The sequence below is a fragment of the Homo sapiens genome, chromosome 3, assembly GCF_000001405.40.
Source record: "Homo sapiens chromosome 3, GRCh38.p14 Primary Assembly".
In the NCBI taxonomy this organism is placed as follows: Eukaryota; Metazoa; Chordata; class Mammalia; order Primates; family Hominidae; genus Homo; species Homo sapiens.
In genome coordinates, this window is record NC_000003.12 from 108,712,727 (window position 1) to 108,733,169 (window position 20,443).

At 41.6% G+C, this 20,443-nt stretch overlaps 1 long non-coding RNA gene across 1 annotated transcript; it reads right to left on the bottom strand.

The window, feature by feature from the left end:
- Positions 1 to 822: 822 nt before the first annotated feature.
- Positions 823 to 14,904, bottom strand: LOC105374033 (uncharacterized). Its single transcript, XR_924321.1, has 4 exons — positions 14,449 to 14,904; positions 12,122 to 12,167; positions 1,568 to 1,638; positions 823 to 1,354 (listed from the first exon to the last, which is right to left on the bottom strand). It is a non-coding gene; the product is annotated as an uncharacterized LOC105374033 (long non-coding RNA).
- Between the last annotated feature and the right edge of the window lie 5,539 nt (positions 14,905 to 20,443).

Below are 20,443 nucleotides of genomic sequence, written 5' to 3' on the forward strand. Positions count from 1 at the left end.
GATTCTGATTCAGTGGGTCTGGGGTGAAGTCTGAGATCCTGCGTTTTTAATAGGCTACCAGCTGATGCTGATGCTGTTGATCCTGGGATGACATTTTGGGTAGAAAAACTAACCCATGGGGAGCATTAGAATCACCTGGGGATCTTTTCAAAGCTGAGAATTCCTAGATCTTCCCCTGAGATGGGGCCCCAGCATTGGCACTTCTTTTATAGGCCAGCCAGATAAGCCTGATGTATTTCTCTTAGGAAGAACCATGGATCTAGTCTGACCTTTTACGTGTGAGAACACTACCCCCAAGAGGGTGTACGACCCTTGTCCTGATGTAACTTTCTCCCAAGAAAGTTTGTTAGTGAATGAAGTGTATTTTCAATGGGAACATATTCCGGTGTGTGGGTCCCCAGTGCTGACTGGGGACTACAATTTGCAGTGTGAGTCGAGCACGAAGGTTTCATTAACACATAGCTCAGAACCTAGCTGTGGAGCAGCCTGTGTGATGAATGGGGTCTCAGGTTCTACTTGAAGCATTATCACATAATATATCAGTTTTATGTCAAATGAACTGATGGTTTTATGGCCTTTCCATTCAATTTGATAGGGCCCTTGTCACAGGCTCTTTCTAATCATGCTAGAGGGCATTTTTTGGTGGCGATGACATAGTGATTTATAAAACCCACTTCATGCATCAGCCACATATATGTAAATCAGAAAAATTTCCTTCTGGGAAAAGGTGTCATTGCCATTCTGTGATAAATAGATGCATAGTCAATGAGCAGACATTCATCAAGACACAGATTTGAATTCACGTTTCTATGTACCAAGTAATTAGCGTCGTGTCTAGGAAGTAGTTTTGTAAGGCAGGACCCTCCCAAATGGAAGACTTGCAGCATGTGAGTTGAGTTTGCTGCCAACTTGACCTTCAAGGTGCTGGAGCAAGATGGCTGGAAACTCAGCTGGAGGTATGGGAGCATCAGCCTTGAGGGTGAAGGAGGGGAAGGGGTGCTTAAAGGAAGCACCACAGACAGAAGAAGAAAAGACATACTTTTAATGTGTGTGTTTCAGGGTTGCTATAGAACTTAATATTATTTTCCTTATTTAGTCCTCAAATCATGGTGCAAGGTAGGAGTTATCTACATCTTAAAGAAAGAAAACTAAAGTGAGAACTCATCTAAGACTTCAACCTAGGTCAGTGTGACTCCAAAGCCCATGCTCTTTCTGCTACACGACAATGTTTTCGCAAAAGCACCTGCACGTCAGCATAAGTGAATTATGTCCCTGTGATACCAGTTTTGCTGAGACCAGATTGCAACTCTCAGCAATTGTACCTGCCATCTGCTTCCTGTGCCCAGCCTTGAATCTGTAAAGACATGACATCAGAAGTGTTAATGCTATATATAGCTTAAAAGGCTTTAAAAAAATTAAAGAAAAATTCTCTTTAATTGATGAAATCAAAGTGTCAAATATTCCTCATTCTTAGCTACTTGTATGAAATAAAATCATGGGTAAATGTCAAAACTTGAAATAATTGGCCACAGAAATAAAATAAATCTGATAGAAATATTTTTATTACCTAAATACTTGTGAAGTGAGTTGGAGGGAGATCCACAACATTCTCTTCATAGGCTAACTGAGATATTATACCTAAGAAAGAGCAATAACATTTTTTTAAAAAAGAGCAATTAACTTTTACAAAGCTTTCAACATTTGCACATCACTTTCACTAATACCGTGTGATCCTCACATCACTTCTGTGATGTTGGTAGGTATGATTTGATCCATTATTAGATAAGGAAATCAAGGCTTAGAGACTCAGAAATTGGGATTCCACTCTCAGAAATGCTCACACTGCCAGTGATCAGAAGACTAGTCTTCACACTCTAAATCCCACATGTTTTTCACTGCTCAAGAGAATATATTATTTAAAAACTACTTTTCTACTTTTCCAAGTCTCTGTATAGAAGCAAGAACATATTTACTCCAATAATTACAGTAGCAGAGTATATTCTTCTTTGCAGAAAGAGATTTGTTGACTCAAATATTTGATTGGGGACATCCTATATAATTTGGGGCCCAGAATGTTATCCTGAATTGGATATTACATATCTCTGTTTTCTCTATTTTCTCTCTAAATATAAAACTAAAGGTGAACATTTGGTACACAGAAAAAAAAAAAAATCCCAGCGGCATCTGACCTCTAAATTTAGTTAGAGAAAATAAAGTCCCCACAAAATAAAGCAATACAAAAATGGGGAAGAGAGATTACGGGTCTCTCTTCAGCTGGCAGAAGAGAGGGCAGTACTGAAAGCAATCAAATCAATAGATTTTTGGCAAAAAAATTTTTTTAATTTGAATTTTTTTAATTTAAAAAATATATAGGGTGTCCCCAATCAAATATCTGAGTCAACAAATCTCTCTCTACATAAAAGAATATACTCTGCTGTAATTATTGGAGTAAATATGTTCTTGCTTCTATATGGAGACTTGGAAAAGCAGAAAAGTAGTTTTTTGTTTTGTTTTGTTTTTTGTTTTTGTTTTGTTTTGTTTTTTTGTTTTTTGTTTTTGTTTTTGAGACGGAGTCTCTGTCTCTTGCCCAGGCTGAAGTGCAGTGGCACGATCTCAGCTTAATGCAAGATCCGCCTCCCGGGTTCAGGCCATTCTCCTGACTCAGCCTCCCGAGCAGCAGGGACTACTGGCGCCTGCCACCACGCCCGGCTAATTTTTTTTATTTTTAGTAGAGACAGGGGTTTCACTGTGTTAGCCAGGATGGTCTTGATATCCTGACCTCGTAATCCACCCGCCTCGGCCTCCCAAAGTGCTGAGATTACAGGCGTGAGCCACTGCACCCAGCCGAAAAGTAGTTTTTAAAGACTGTATTTTCTTGAGCAGTGAGAAACGTGGGGTTTAGAATGTGAAGACTAGTCTTTTGATCACTGGCAGTGTGAGCACTTCTGAGAGTGGAATCCCAATTTCTGAGTCTCTGCGCCTTGACTTCCTTATCTAATAATGGATTAAATCATACCTACCAACATCACAGAAGTGAGCAAAGAAGAAGTATAGCTCAAAGGACTGGTTTGGGGAAGGAATTCTGAGTCTTCCTTGATGTCAAGAATATTTGCTGCTTTTATCCTGAGGTGTCTGGCTGGGGTGGAATAAAAGTGTCTCTTATCAGGATATTTATTGAGAAGACTGAGTTCAAACTTTGCAGACAGGAGAGGCAGTAGTCTGATTGGGGACACCCTATATAAATTTAAAGTCAATAAATCTATTACCAGATATTTAGGATTGCTTTCTACATTAACCAAGGGCAGTAACTGAAAATAATCAAGACCAAGTTCAGATAAAAGCAATCATTGGGGTTTAAATATGAGGCAACATAGATTACAGGTGATAGTGATGGAATGACAAGAAGAGAGAAGATCTGAGTTCTAGTCTTGCCTCTCCCGCTAATTCCTTTTTGGCTTTGAACAAGTTACTGAAACTCCCTGGGCTCAGGTCTCTGTTGTGGAGGGGTGCAGACTGGGAAAGGAGTGTGAGCAAAACCTAGGGAAGCAAAGTAGCTCTGTGATGTGCCAGGCAAGCCCCCTCCAAAGTAGTCTGAAGCAGTGGTTATCCAGAGCAGAGCAGAAAGCTGGGAAGCCCTTTGGGCAGTGGAGTGGTCTGCAACCTGGCTGGGTAGGTAGCATGTGTAGATGGTGGTGGAGACACCCACATTCCAGAGCTGCTCCAAACAATCTGGAAGCCACCTTGATGATAGAAACCACTGATCACATAGGAATATAGAGAAGTTGTATGAGACACCAAGTTTCTACTCCTCTCTTTTGCCACTATTTTCAGCTAAATGGATGACTAAGTAATAATACTGCTATGTTTAAGCCAGTCATCACATGCATTTTCTTCCCCCCCCATTGTTTATTTATTGCTTATTTTTGTGTATTTATTTATTTTTATTTATAGAGATAAGGTCTCGCTGTGTCACCCAAGCTGGAGTGCAGTGGCGGGATCACAGTTCACTGAAGCCTCAACCTCCCAGGTTCAGGCCATCCTTCTGCCTCAGCCTCCTACATGCTGAGACTACAGGCACATGCTGCAACCACATCTGGCTAATCAAAAAAAAAATTCGCAGAGATAGATTTTCACTGTGTCACCCAAGCTGGTCTCAAACTCCTGGGCTCAAGCAGTCCTCCTGCCTCATCCTCCCAAAGTGTTGGGATTACAGGCATGAGCCACTGCACCTGGCCTCCTGCATGCATTTTTAAATTTGATCCTTATGTTCATGAAGTGGGATAATCAGTTCCATTTTACAAATGAGGAAAGGAGCTTAGAGAGGTTAAGATATTTTCCCCAGTATCTCTTTAGAACGGGCGTTTGAACCCAGGGGCAGTCTGCCTGCAGTTAAATCAATGATTGATCATAATCAACATTGTAGCAAATTTCAGAAAGCATATAAAGAAAAAAATAAATAATCATCCCAGATTTTATCACCCACAGACACCCAGCTTGGTTTGTAAAAAACTTTAAGTCAAAATTTATTTTTAATGGCTGTGTGGTATTTCATTTTACGTATGTTTTAAGTTTATCCAATAAATCTGTTACCAGATATTTAGGATTGCTTTCTACGTTTTTTTTTTTGAGCCTCTTACCCAAGGCTGGAGTGCAGAGATGCAATCACAGCTCACTGCAATGCAATGTCTGCCTCCCAGGCTCAAGTGATGCTCCCACCTCAGCCTCCCAAGGAGCTGGGACCATGCCCTGCTAATTTTTGGTATTTTTGGTGGAGACGGGGTTTCACCATGTTGCCCAGGCTGGTCTCAAATTCCTGAGCTCAAGTGATCTGCCCACCTCAGCCTTCCAAAGTGCTGGGATTATAGGCGTGAGCCACCGTGCCCAGCCTATTTTTTACAATTTTAAACAGTGCCATAGGAACAATGTTGCATATACTTTGGGGCTCTCATTCAATTGTCTCCTCAGGAGCAATTGCTAGAAATGAGGTTGCTGTTTTGAAAAATATGCTTTTTTAAAAGAAATGTAAAAGATTGTGTTGTCAGATTGTCTTTTTGGAAAAAGCAGAATCAGTTCCCCTCTTAATAGCAGTAGGTGAGTGCCCATTTCCTTACACATCCACAATAAGTCTAGATAATACTATTCTTTAAATCCTTGCCAATCTGATAAATGAAAAATGTTATCTCATTTTAATTTGCACTTAATTACCAGTGAGGCTGAATGCCTAATATCAAGAGAGTGATTTTTTTTTCATTTTATATTCACAGCTATAGCATCCTTGTATGGGCTTCAAAGATAACAGAAATCATGGTGACTGAACTAGCACGAATCACAAGAGAACGTGCAATTCAACATTATCATTCACCTTCTGTGTACTTAAGTGTTGAAAGTGCTTCTTCTCTACAAGACAGTGACATCTTAGAAAGGAGAGATTTCACTTTGTTCGTCTTCTCCAGAAAGTCCTACTTTCCTCGGGCTCTTAAGGCATACAGAGTCATCTATGAAACTCTTCCAACTTATCAAAAGAGGAGGGGGCTTGCCTGGTACATCACAGAGCTACTTTGCTTCCCTAGGTTTTGCTTATGCTCCTTTCCCAGTCTGCACCCCTCCACAACAGAGAACTGAGCCCAGGGAGTTTCAGTAACTTGTCCAAAGCCAAAAACTAATTAGTGGGAGAGGCAAGACTAGAACTCAAATCTTCTCTGTTTTTGTCATTCCATTGCTATTGCCTGTAATCTGTGTTTCCTCAAATTTAAACCTCAGTGATTGCTTTATATCTGAACTTGGTCTTGATTATTTTCACTTACTGCCCTAGGTTGATTATAGCTCTCCAAGTAGACTTTTAGCATTTCCAGAAAAGAAAATTTTACTCTGTTGATCTTTCCATCCATAGTACCTTCAAGCTGCCAGGGCTAGCCAATCTTCAATAAATATTTGCTCGGGGGAGGCCAGGTCTATGTCAGTTGCTCTGATACAGTTCTTATCCTTTCCAGAGTGAAACTCCTCAAAAATCTCCTAGACGGTTGCTTTTTAAAATATTAAAAGTCAGGCACATTTCCAGTTCTCTTGCTTCAGAATTTTTGTACCCTCATTGGCTGTGTAGCACTCTTTTAAATCAAAACATTGGGAAGTTGTTATGTGCTCTTATTTTATCTTGCATTTTAAAGGAAATGACTTTTTCTCTCTGCTGAGGCATTTCTTTAATAGTCACATGGTGATTTGACATGCATTCAATTTGGTCTGAGCTACATTTGGTGATTTTTTTTTTGTTTTTTACTTTTAACGTTATTAGAATCTGTAGTATTTCTCTTTAGATGAACAAGTGATTAAAAACAACAATACGAAAACACCTCTTTCCTTTACAGTCACTAACTTGACAGTTTAAAATGAAAAAAAAATTTCAATTATAACCAACACTAACATTTAATTCCAATTTCCATGTAACATTATAGAACCTGCATTTAAACAACCATGGAATGCTTAATTCTTGTAGGAGGAAAGACAAAGCTAAAAAACACCAATGAGGAGTTAAAAAAAATTGTGCTAATCACAGTTGCTTTTCCTGATGGGGAGGAGGAAAGAAAAAATACCATTTTCATTAAACCACCCAGAGCCAGTAAAATCAACTATGACCAGAGAATTTCCTGTGGATGGCCCTCTCATTTCCTGTCTGAATTATACTACAGAGATGGTTACCAGATAAAATACCTAGAATTGATTTAGAGTGGGCAGTGCTTCTTCAGCAGTCTTTATTATAAATGTTAATTCTGGGATCTTTGCCATCCGTGGGGCTTTAGCAGATAAATAACACCATTTTTCTTCAGTGTTCACGCTCAGGTGTAAGGCTCACTGAAAGGGAGCTGAGATTTATAGGTGATGTAATTTAGAATTCTAAGCCCATAAGTTAATGCTTTAGAAATGTCTTCTTTATCTTTTCTGGGATTACAAATGGACAGATCCCTGGCACAGCTCCTCATCTTACTTGGTCTCTCTTCTGCTGAAGACCTTATTCTGCCAGATTCATCACTGTTTGCAGTAGAAAAAGCAATGATTTGGTGTAGACAAGAATGAGAAGATTAATGTCAATGACAGAGCAGTGTTTTTGAAATGTCACCTCCAGTGAGATAAATAATGCTATAGAGCACTTACTAGGTACTAGGTCTTGCACTGGTACTTCGGAAAATGGTACGTAAAACGTGTTTAAATTACATAAGCAGTTAAAGCTAATATTTATGTGATGTTTTACATATATTAATCCATTAATTCATTTAATTCTTTCAACAGCCCTATGAGGTATGCACTCCTATTTTATAGATCAGGAAACTGAGGCATAGTAGAGAGATTATGCAACAATTTCAAGTTTACACAAAAAGTAAGCGGCAAAAGCAGAATTGGAAGTCAGCTCTCCTGTTTCCAGAGGCCGTGATTTAACCGCTACCATTTATAAAAGAGTTGAGCTCTTACAGAGAGAGGAAATCCCACTTGATTACACCGCAAATCTGAGCTCCTCCCGTCATGTTTTTCTATGCATTTATGTGCATACACTCACATGTGAATACATTATATGTTTTGTTGCTTTTTGGTTACTGTTGATTTCTTTAATATAAATATTTACTTGTTATACACACTTTATTATTTTAGAATAAAACCCCTTGAATCATCTGTTTTATCAGGGCTCTTTTTGATCATTTATTTAGCTGGTTCTCCCTTTTTCCTATGTGTAGATTCTTTGCTGTCTGTTTTTGTTGAAGAGTGGGCAGCCGGACAGTTCTGTAGATGCTGAGTGTGTGTGGGCACAGCAGCTCCCCACTAGTGGCTTCACTGGAGGGGACTGGCCATGAGACAGCCTTTGTGCCATCAGGTAGGCACGCTGGCAATGACCACCTTCTTTTGGATTGTAGCTTACCAGTGCAGGTCCCCAAATGTTAGTAGGGTCATGGCTTCTGTTTTCAAACAAACAAACAACAACAATAAAAAAACAAAAAAACCTTGAAATAGAAAATTTTCCTACACAGGCTAAAAATTGCTTCACCTTTTTCATCCTAATCCCTAAATTCAAATAATTGCAAACAGAACTTTTAGTGACCTTGGGAATGTTATTTAACTTTTATAAATTATGTTAATCTGATTTGAAAAATGGGAAATGTCCTCACAAAGCTGACATAAGAAACATAACTTCAGAATAATAATAAGAAAGGTAGCATTTTGTTGTCTTCACATGTATACATCATTTAAATCTTACAATAACACCGTTGATTAGTGTATTATATATCCATTTTCAAATACAAGGAAACTGAAGTTTAAGGTGTTAAATAACTTGCCTCAGATAACTCAACAGTTAGTGTAGCCTGACTAATTCCAGGACCATGGTGCTTAGGGCATAGTAGAGGCTCAATAAATGTTAGCTCTCTTGCAGTGATAAAAACGTAAGCTGTAGACTGGGAGCGGTGGCTCACGCCTCTAATCCCAGCACTTTGGGAGGCAGAGGCGGGCAGATCACGAGGTCAGGAGTTCGAGATCAGCCTGGCCAAGATGGTGAAACCCCATCTCTACTAAAAATACAAAAATTAGCCGGGCATGGTGGCGGGCACTTGTAATCCCAGCTACTTGGGAGGCTGAGGCAGGAGAATCACTTGAACCCAGGAGGTGGAGGTTGCAGTGAGCTGAGATTGTGCCACTCTACCCTAGCCTGGGTGATAGAGCAACAGTCCGTAAAAAAAAAACAAAAAACCTAAGTTGTGGTTGAGGTGATGGGAATGAAAAAGAAGGAATGATATGGTAAACAAGTAAGTAGTGGAGATTTTTAAAATGCATAGTACACACAGACACGTTTTATAAAGTGGCTAGTGGAGCCTATGTAGTAGTAGGTCTGAAAGGGTTAAACAGAGATGCTCTGAAGCTGCCGTAGGCAAGGAATCCATTTCACAGGAGCATTTGGTATCTGATGCTAAACACTGCTGAGTTTCCTTCCAAAGTGGGATACATTTCAGCTTCTACCCTGGAATGTGGTAGTAACTTACTGCTCCACCTCTTGTGTCTTGCATCTCCACGTATATCTTCTTTCAACTGCCCATGAGATCTGTCCAAAGGACAAATCTGAATTGCTTTCTTAAAACATACATAAACAAAACATATATAAACAAGAGAGGTTTAACTGACTCACAGTTCTGTATGACCGGGGAGGCCTCAGGACACTTATAATCATGGCAGAAGGTGAAGGGGAATCACTTGAGTCCAGGAGGCCACTACACTCCAGCCTGGGTGACAGAGTGAGAACCTGTCTCTTAAAAGAATTTAAAAATGATAATAAGTCAATTTTTCACAAAAGCCAGGCATGTGGGGGGTAATATTACGCCAGGGCATGAATATTGAGATGTGGGAATAATTGGAGACTGTCTTGGAGGCTGCCTACCACCCAGATATATTTAAAGCTTTTTATTCAAAGCCTGATTTATAAAATCTAGTACCATCCCTACCATCACCCAATTACTGGTCTATCTAGCATAATCTGTCTTACCACTTTCTCACTCTAAGTTCCAATAATACAAAACTGCTGGTGGCCATTCTCCTAATCTCCTTGTATTAGTCCATTCTCACACTGCTATAGAGAAATACCTGAGACTGGGTAATGTATAAAGAAAAGAAGTTTAATTGACTCACAGTTCCATATGGCTGGGGAGGCCTCAGGAAATGTAAAATCATGGCAGAAGGGGAAGCAGGCCCCTTCTTCACAAGGCAGCAGGAGAGAGAAGTGATGGAGAAACTTCCAAACCCTTATAAAACCATCAGATCTCGTGAGAACTCACTCACTATCATGAGAACAGCTTGGGGGAAACTGCCCCCATGATCCAATCACCTCCCTCTCTCGACAGATGAAATTACAGGTCCCTCCCTCAACATGGGGAGATTACAAGATGAGATTTGGGTGGGGACACAGAGCCAAATCATATCACCCCCTCCACCCACAATCACTGGGCTGCCTGAGCTTCCTGTCTGGTACCCTCATTTCCTCATCCTCCTATGGCTAATGCTGCTTCATCTTTTTAAGACAAGTTCTGGTGTCACCTCCTCTAGGTACCCTCCCTGACCTTCAACCTGAGTTAGATATTGCTCACTTGTGTCATTGAACCTGGGACACCCCTTCAACCTAGCATTTACTGCACTGTTTTGAAATTATATCAGTCTGACTATTCTATGAACAGCTGAGTGCGGGTGCAATATCCTCATCACTGAGATCTGCCAAATGTCTAGCACCTACCAAAATGTCTAGTGCACCATAGGTGCTTAAGAAACATTTGCTAAAAATATTTTTAACCAACCACATTTGCAACAGTTCATGAGGCCTTCCTGGTTTGAACTCCAGTTATTGCCCACAAAGAAAAAAGTAAACTTGAGAAAGTAATCTGTGTTTTGGGTCAACCTTTTCTTTGTCTAAGATATAAAAATTCTACCAATCATCTTGTGGGTGTCCTCTCATTGTTTCTGTTCCTTCTAGGCGTGGGCTGGGATGTCACTTTCTTATCCTAAGATCTCTAAGATCTCTAAGGCTGAGACAGCTATGTCCATACGGCTTGCTTAGCTGTGTGTTGTTTGCACTCCCAAATCCTCACCATATGAGAAAGATGGGCTTTCCAAGTGTCTATGTGAGCTGGTGACGGTTAATGACTTGCCGTGAAGGGTATGAGCCAGCCTGTGGCCCCAAGGTCTCTGTCTGAAGAGGAGAACTATCCTACATGCCCTAGGTGATGGTGAAGCAGCAGATGTGGCCAGAAACAAACAAAAATATGAGGGTGTGACTTGTGCTAAAACCACCCATGGGCCCTGATAGGCTCACAAGCCTCATAGGCAAAGGATGGTTTATATTCCACTTCATGCCTCTGAAACCTAAGTAGTACTCAGAACAATGTTCAATTAAAGTTTTGTGAATAGTGAGGGGACTGGGATTACTAGGTATTCATCTTGGTTCTCACAGCACAAGTCCCCTTGAGATGAGATGAGAACAGTTGGGGTTTAGATATGGCTGGGGACATCCTATATGTCCTCATTCTTCTAGGCTTTTAGGAAATTTAACTCACTGGTTTTGGGGCTATCCACTTCAGGGTGGATTAAATGTCTTATATAAAGCTAAGGAACGAAAAAAAAATCCTTATTTATCATCAATCATTTACAAGAGACTCCTGTTGTCCCAACTTCATGGCACCTTTGGAGACACTAGTTGAGGTTACAGAATTATCTGGATGCTAGAATCTAGTCTCCCTGGTAAACATGCGGTACTTATCCTCTAAGGTGTTTTTACTTCATCTAAGTAAAGTAAGGAAGGAAAGTGAGGACACTCTTGCTGTGAAGCAGTTTCACTGTGCCCTTGTTATCACTTCAGCTCTAATATGGTTTTGTTCTGTGTCTCCACCCAAATCTCTTGTGGAATTGTCTTCTCCAGTGTTGGAGGAGGGGCCTGGTAGGAGGTGATTGAATCATGGGGGCGGACTTCCCCCTTGCTGTTCTCCTGATGGTTAGTGAGTTCTCAAGAGATCTGGTTGTTTAAAAGTGTGTGGCACTTCCCCCTTCTCTCTCTCTCTCTCCTGATCTGCCGTGTAAAGATGTGCCTCTTTCCCTTTCAGTTCCCGCCATGATTATATGTTTCCTGAGGCCTTCTCAGCCATGCTTCCTGTACAGCCTGTGGGACTGTGAATCAATTAAACCTCTTTTCTTCATAAATTACCCAGTCTCAGGCAGTTCTTGATAGCAATATGAGAACAAATGAATATAAGCCCGCTGCATCTTGGGCTGCAATTTCCATTTACTTGATAAGTCCAGTGAGACAGAACACTCACATAACAAGTAAAGTGAAACAACTTTATTACTCACCGATAGGCATCAAGGAGAGTAGAAGCCTAGGATTTAGGGTAAGATGGTCCCCCAAGGTTCAGGAAAACTTGCCAGGGTGCATGGAATCTTGTCTGTGCATGCCCCACATGCACTGCAGCTAAAGAACCCCGGAAGCAGACCATCCTGCAATTTATACCCTGGGAATGGCATGACTCAATGGGGTAAAGTGTTGAAGAACAACCTCTTTCTAGGAGAGACTGGAACAGAGCTTGAGCTGATCTGTCCAGTTCCACCTTACCTCAGAATGTTGAATTCTCAGCACGTTCTACGATTATTCTTGAGATCTACAAGTGAGAAAGGAGGGAGACCTGGGTTGGTCCAAGGCCACCTGGAGAACTGTCCTGCACCTGCTACTAGGAGTGCCTTCAGGCTTCTCTCCAACTGCCAGCCCAGGGAACTCTCTCCACCTGTTTTTACTAACACAAAATGTCTTTCAATCACTGCCCACTCAGTGAAACCTTGCTACTTCAGTGGGCTCACATTGGAAGAGTCATGTGCTTGGCACTACTTTGGTCCAGCCAAAGTCCTTGAAGCAAGAGTTGGCAAAACTTGGCCACCAGCTTGAAATGAGGGGGTAGGGGAAAAATGAGGAGAATAAACAGAAGGTGCTATTTTAATTCTCATCCACTATTCCTTAGGAAAATGATAGACTCAAACGAAGAGAAATTCAAAGACCATCTTTATTACCTGGGCATAGATGTCACAGGCAGAGGGGATAGGAGTTGAGAAGCCATAACTCATGTTACTTAGTGAGGGTTTTCTGATTGGGGTTGAAGTTTCTTTAGGCATCACAATAACATGGTCTTAGCTCTCATATCTCAGAGCAGGCAGTGACCCCATCCAAAACAACACACTGGCAGTGACAGATGGATTCCCATAGGACATCCCAGGAGCCACAGCCATAGCCGCAAGCATGACCAGTGACAGGGTACCCTGCATGGGGCATGGAGCAGAGACGTTGGAGCCCTTGGATTTGGAATTAGTAGTGCTATTTAAGAAGGGGGTGAGAAGTCAGAGGACAGAAGAGATGAACTTGAAGGAAGACAAATGACAAAATGTCTTTAAGAAAGAACAAAAGAGATTCTAATAGGAGAGATACTAATCACTAAATGCCTGACACCAGGATTGACACATAGAAAATACTCAGTAAGTGGAATTACACTTACTTAAATGTCTTTAAGAAAGAACAAAAGAGATACTAATAGAAGGAGAGGGAAGGAACAGAAACCAGGGATCTCTCAGCTTCACCCTCCAGGGGAAATAGGGATGAGAGAAGAAGAGTTGGGGACAGTGACTCAGACCCACTGGCCTGGCACAATGAGATGGTGGGTAGAAGCAGGAGCATGGGAATAGGAAAGTAGCCTGAGCTGGAGGGAGAGGGGAGTGTTCAGGCGATGTATTCCTCACTTAGTGAGGAATAATCTGCTACGACTTCCGATGCTAAGATAGAAAACACGTCGCTTAGAGTCACACACCCAGGCCAGGTGCGGTGGCTTAGGCCTATAATCCCAGCTACTTTGGGATGCCAGGATGGGCGGATCACCTGAGGTCAGGAGTTTGAGACCAGCCTGACCAATATGATGAAATCCCATCTCTACTAAAAATACAAAAGTTAGCCAGGTGTGGTGGCATATGCCTGTAGTCCCAGCTACTCAGGAGGCTGAGGCAGGAGAATTGCTTAAACCCAGGGGGCAGAGGTTGCAGTGAGACGAGATTGTGCCACTGCACTCCAGTCTGAGTGACAGAGCAAGACTCAGTCTCAAAAAATAAACAAATAAAAAATAGAGTCACACACCCCCTGTGGGAGAGAATGAGGGATAGATCAGAGGCCTTCATCGGCCACTTGTAATCTTCACCTACTCAAGTACCTGCAAGAAGTCACTGTTTCCAAGCTGAGATTATTCCAGCAACTTCTGGGCCAGGAATTCCATGAAGAGGAAAAACAAACTCTGCCATAATTGTTAGCTTCTGGGATTTAGGATGGACTGGGATGGATTTGGGGAAGGATCTGGGGATGGATTGGATAGAGGCAGAAGTCCAGGGAGCTGAGCATGGGTGGGGAAATGCCAGGTCTCTTACTATGGGAATCCTTTGTTGCCTCTATCTTCTCATCCACAGCTGATCCTGAGATGTGCTGGGCCTCCCCTGGAACCACCAGCTCAAGGGGGTGAAAATGAATAACAGTAGAAACAGCTTTACTTTTTATGTTCTGAGACAGAACAGGAAAAGACTAAGAAAATTGGGAAGATGGATGCTTCTGGAAAAGTAAGGGCTGAAAAGCCTTTTAGCCGGGTTATAGGAGGCTGAGGTTTCAGTAGACAGCTTGGAGAAGAAAAGATGGTAGGAGGAACATTGTACAGTCACTGATCAGATCTCAGTAAAGAGAGGCAGGGGCTGAGCTGAAACATTTCAGTCCAAGAAATGAGGACTCTTTGCCTCTTTACTCCCTGACCAGTGCAATAGTACCTGCAAAGAGTATTCCAGGAGGCGAGTACCACAAAGAATGCAGGGAGCATTATGAAGTGGCCTCTTGGAGGAGCCTCATTCTGTCAGGGTGGAACTTACCTCTTCAGGCAGCCTAGTCTTCTTCTCTTCTGAGTTCATTTCTGATATTTCCAGAAGTTCTTACTCCAAGCCAACCTTGTCTTGCCAAACAGCTTGCACAAACCCTCAAGTCTCTTTTATAATTCAGTGCAAGAACAGCTTGGCCACGATACTCTGTTTGTGGTCTGGGTCATTAACATGTACTGCAAAGAGCCCAGGTATAATCAGATGCTCCAGGTGGAGTAAAGTCATCTTCTATAGTCATTACCCAGATGTTATGTGAGTTGCTTGTATGCCATGGGCAGCTCACTGTCCTCTATCTTGGCTTGCTCCTTTTTCCTGACTTATCACATCCATGTGTGGCCTAAATCATTAGGGGGTTGCTACTGCTTAGCCTGTTCTAACTTACATACCAAAGAGCTATGGCCGGGCACGGTGGCTCACGCCTGTAATCCCAGAACTTTGGGAGGCCGAGGTGGGTGGATCGCCTGAGGTCAAGAGTTCAAGACCAGCCTGGCCAACATGATGAAACCTCGTCTTTACTAAAAATACAAAAATTAGCTATGCATGGTGGTGCACACCTGTAATCTCAGCTACTCGGGAGACTGAACCAGGAGAATCGCTTGAACTCAGGAGGCGGAGGTTGCACCAGCCTGGTCGACAGAAGCGAAACTCTGTCTCAAAAAAAAAAAAAAAAAAAAAGAGCTTGGCACATCTAACTATGAAGTACAGAGCATTTTCTGTACCTAGGACCATAATGTATGCTATATATGTTATAGTTCATTTTGGTCATCTCCCATATCTTTCTTTTCAAGGTTGTTTGTAATCTCCCAATTATTTCTGGCTTTTTTTTTTTTTTTTCATATTTTTAGATTAGCCAATGAGAAATGATCCCCTGATCATTCTGCGGGAAAACCTCAGCTACGATATAGCAATAGAATTATTTCAAAAGCCTGAGGCCAATGACCTTGTGACATCACAATTAAATAATATGCATTCATAATATGCATAACAAAGATAAGTACTTACAACAAAACACAAAGCAAAAGCCATATATCCAAGCCAGTGTGCCACACAGCACTTTACAAAGATTTCACCTAAGCCTGGTAATTTTTGTTCTTTGACATTTTTTGTTATTCCCAGATGGTTCCAATTTTGTCTTATGATCCCTAAGATTGCTCTGATTGAAACCATGGTCTTCTCACTGAACTCAGAGTGCCTCAGGGGAAAGAGGTTTAATATCCACTTTCATGGTGGTAATGTTCCTGTTGGTTAGAGACATTTTTAGGTATGAGATATATCTCAAACTGACAAATTTTCATACCAGAGCCCATTTTTATTTGAAGGGCTAGACATGGCTGTGATTCATAACCAGGTGGTGATTTCAGCTGCCCTTGTACTTGGGAGCATTGCAGAAGTTGATGCTCATCAATTACCTCTCATCCAACCATTCTTCTGAGGCTATTGGGCTGGAATTCAGTCAAAAATTCACCTGTCATGGAACAAGTTCACAGTTGAGAAACAGACCTCAATACTGTTAGTCCCTTATTGACTGGGTTGGTACTATTTTTATGCTCCATGGAATTCATTGCTCCCATACATAAAAAGAACATTATATTAATGCTATCATACCCTTAAAGATGAGCATTCAGCCAATCAGATAATAGGTAGTTTCTTACATTTTGCCCCAGTTTTTCAAGTCTCATAGCAACCTATCCAGTCCAATTCCTGATAAGTTGGGATATTTAAGACATTAAATCAATACCCAGTAAACATAGACATTTACAAGCTCAAGAACATAGTTTAAATATATCTGAGCCCAGGTGACTTTTCAAGCTCACTCATCTGAAGGGGCTTTCCTTTGCTGTGTCTGAAAGATGTTATCTTCCCAGCTCTACTCAGACATCCAGCACTCATTTCAATCACCCCTCGTCTGAGATGGAAGGGCTTATGAATATGATTAACAGTGGTGCATGTCATAAAGAAGTCCTTTAGTAGATGGTCCACTAGATATTGCTGTGCCCTGAAAAGTTCTGTCAGTTTTTAGGATTGGGTAACTGATCATGCTCATTCTAATTAGGGACAATCCACTTTACACTCTAGCAGTCTGTATCTCTTTCAGTCAGAATTACATGGTACTTGTTGTGATCCAAACCACAAATTCATTTAGAAGGCACTTGTAACCATCATGGTGACATCTTTGGTGTTTATCAGCCTGCTGTTGGTGGCTGGTGAAGAGCGGCAGGGCAGGCTGAGACTGGATGACTGTTGGGGTGCTTGTGGGTATAGGATTTTCTGATTCCATGATAATAGCTCACCTGCTTCTGATGGCTCCAGTGTAATCCACTTACTGAGTATTTTCTATGTGTCAATCATGGTGTCAGGCATTTAGTGTAAAAACCCCATCTAATCATTATAAAAATTCTATCAAGAAGGTAATATTATCCCCATTTTACAGAAAAGTCAACTGAAATTTCTAAAGGTTAAGTAAATCAACCAACTTTATGAAAGATCATGAATAGAGATGAGATTTGAAGGTCCATCTGTCTAATTGCAAAGACAATGCTCTCCACACAGCATGTATGTCTTACCTCTGAAATAAATACACAATACTAAGATTGTGTAATTAGCTCCCAGATCTCAGTTGTACTTCATTTAAGTTTCAGAGCATGATGTAGTTTATAAGAAAATATTGAACCCTCTACTATGTAAAACTTTCTGTCCTAAGCACTCTGGAGGATCTGGCACTGAGATTATTCAGAGAGAGCTTCAGAGGGGGATGGGATGTCTGCTCCTGGCCTTCAAGAACAGGTGGCTTTCTATAGGCAGGGATAAGGGATTGGGGATGGATAGTGGTGCCAGGAGGGCATTTTGGGTAGAGGAAATGGGTTGAACAAATACATAGGGAAAAAAGAACTGCATAGTGGATTAGAGCTCCAGGGAAAAGGCACATTTCAATGGAATGGAGATTCTCTAGAGAAAGGTTAGGAAATACGGTTGGAAGGGTCAATTGAAATTGATTGTGGAGGGCACCAGTGCAAAGCTGAAGGTGGTAAGCTTAGTCTGGCAGGCAGACTAAGGGGCGGGGGGCATGAAAGTTTTTGAGTAGGAGAACAATTTGTCAAGACAAGATTTCAGGAAAGAGAACCTTAACACCAATGGGCACAGTGGGTTGCAACACCCAAGGCAGGGTCAGAAAGAGCAGTCAAGAGCCTAAAATGGAGCTCCACACTGGAGAGCATCCTGGCCAAGGGAAAACGTGACATTAGAAACACAAAAAGCAAGGCTAGGGTCTCTCAGCTCAGGCTCTTCCCAGCTGTGTCACCTCAGGCAAATTTCTCAATGGCCCTCAGCTGCTTCTGCAACATGTAAGTAACATCTACACCACAGCATTGTTTATTGGTTCATTCAAAGCATTCATCGAGTGTCCGCTATGTGCCAGGTATAAGGAAGACAAGAGGGGTCAAGGGTGTCTCCAAAATATTTGACCTGTGCAACAAGAAGAGGGGATTTGCCTTTCCTGTGACACTTAAATGATAAACTGTGTGCAAAACTCCTGGCATAGTGCTGGGCATACAGTGGCTGCTCATTAAGTGTAATTCTTTTTGAAGCACTAAGGACCAAATTTTGTTTGTAGCAATGTGATAGAAATGAAGACATTAATAAGAGCTTTTGTAAACAGAGGGAGCAGGCAGGTCTAAAATATATGATTGTCTAGAATATATAAGTTCTATAAAGTTTCTAAAGTAACCTATATAATACCAGGTAATAAATGGTTTAAAAGAACCCTTTCTACCCCCCTGAAATACAAAGGAAGGAGCCTGTTGCATGTCGGGGGACTTGTTAATGGCATCTATGTGTGTCAGGACCTTAGCAGGAGAGAGATGGGACACACTAGCCGGCTGAGTGGCTGGAAAACCTAATAAAGGGTCAGCGGGGAGGAGTAGATCCTGGAACCAGGAGACAGACTCATGGCAGGAGAAATGTAGACTTGGCAGGAGCTCTGGCCTTGGTAGAAGAACACAGTGACCAGCAGAGACTGGAAGGAGCCTGGGTTGAAATACTCCTCTCCACTGAAAACTAAACCCTAAAGCATTACCCATCGCTCAGTGTTTCCCATAGAAGTTAATGGGGAGAAATCAGGAAGAAAAACCATTGATTAATATAAAACACAGCTTCTAATGTCTCTGCTTCTGCAGCTCATCATGAGGCCTTGGTTGACAGTTGTAGCGTCTTTTCCACCACACATTTTGTGTTCCCTACCCTCTCTGCCAGACTTCAGCTGAAGAGAGTTCTTTACCTGCTGGGGAAAATTGTTTTGCTTCTTCATTTCTGTAGGATCTGACTTTTTAGTGTCTCTTTCTTTAGTTGCCAAGGTTTTCAGGACTACTGGGCAAAAGTACTAAGAAGTGCACCAATGACTCCCTGGTGGTCCTCTTTGGCCTTATTTTGCAGCAGCAACCAAATTTTTCTTTATAATTGGAGTCAATACAATACACTAGGTAATACAGAAACCCTCTTATTTGCTTATTGGCTCAGTGGCATGAGAATCAATAGTTCTTGGAAGCGGTCTTATCTTCCAGTTGATCAAGCAGCAGTCTTAGCTTCCAATTCACAGAAACCATGTCTTCTATTCCTTATCAAAAGCATTTTTCTTTTGGATACTAGGACTCTTTGGAGCTCAGGGTTGTAGGTGAGACAAAAACATCCTCCAATGTGTTGATGTAATAGTAGAGGTAGGAAACGCTCCTACCTCTACTCTGTAGTTCCCAGACATGTGCATTCTGGCTATGGGGCTGGCTTAAGGCATTTACCTCATTCTGCAGGAATGCCTCCCAATTTTGAAGGATGGCAACAGAATTGAGACTTCAGCAGAATATATCATTAATTCATCAAACCAGGTACTTCTGTGTTATGGGATACATGGTACAGTTAGTGAATTCTATGGGCATGAGCCCATCACCTTAATTCCCACACATAAAATGTGATCTCTAGACAGAAGTGATGTATAGGATACTATGGTGATGATAAGGCATTATCATTTGTGGACTTAAGTAAAGCGTTGCATCCTCCATCATGAAAGGTGTCCGATATAAACAACCTGCTACTAGGTGGTCAGCTGGTACCTTATGGGGACTGGTGTTGTACTGGAGGCCTAGCACTAACTTCTGACATTGGGAAGTTGAATACTCAGCAACGGTGTTAAACAGACCAGCGTTGGTAAGGGGAATTCCATGCTGTTAGGGTGCTCTTCATTTCTGCTTCCATCACCACTTTGTGCATGCTCCCACTGAGCAAGCACTGGAGTTGGTGGGGAGAGAGGAAACTGGGGGGTTTACAGGATGTCTCTCCTTATTCTGATTATTAAAATCTCCCTCCCTTTCCTGTAGTCTCCCTCGTCACCATTTTTCTGTCATTGGCCAATTCATTAGGCTGTGGGGTGTTTACAAATGTGTGTATGGTCATAATTCCGGCTGCTTTTTCTTCCAAATGTGGTGGGCAGCCCAATGTTCCAGCCAAACTTCTGCTCTCTGGGAGGATTTTCCTTCACTGCTGTCAGTCAGGGCCAGCCCTGAGTGAGACTATAGTACAGTAGCTTTCCTGCAGTGCCAGCATAACACACAGATTTTTTTCCTTCTTCATTAACTGGTTATAGGGAACTCCTTTTGTGTGAGAAGTGAAAGAGAATGCATAGGCTGAGGAGATGAAGAACTTTGAAGAGTGAGCTCATCAAATACAATTCAGACATGAACAGAGATCACAAAGAGTGTCACCAACCTGCACAGGTATGGGTATGCTTTACTTAATTCTAGTCTTACACGGACATAATTCTCTTTAGAGGAATCTTAGTCATTTTTCAGTATATTGGGCTTAAGAATGATACATTGTTACACAAATGACACGTTTTACTTTATTTTTGATAGTCTTGCCAATTAAAAAAAAACTTAGCTACTTCTAATAAAAACAATAACTTTTAGATAAATAATCAGTCACTTTTGAAGTTCTAATTTCCAAT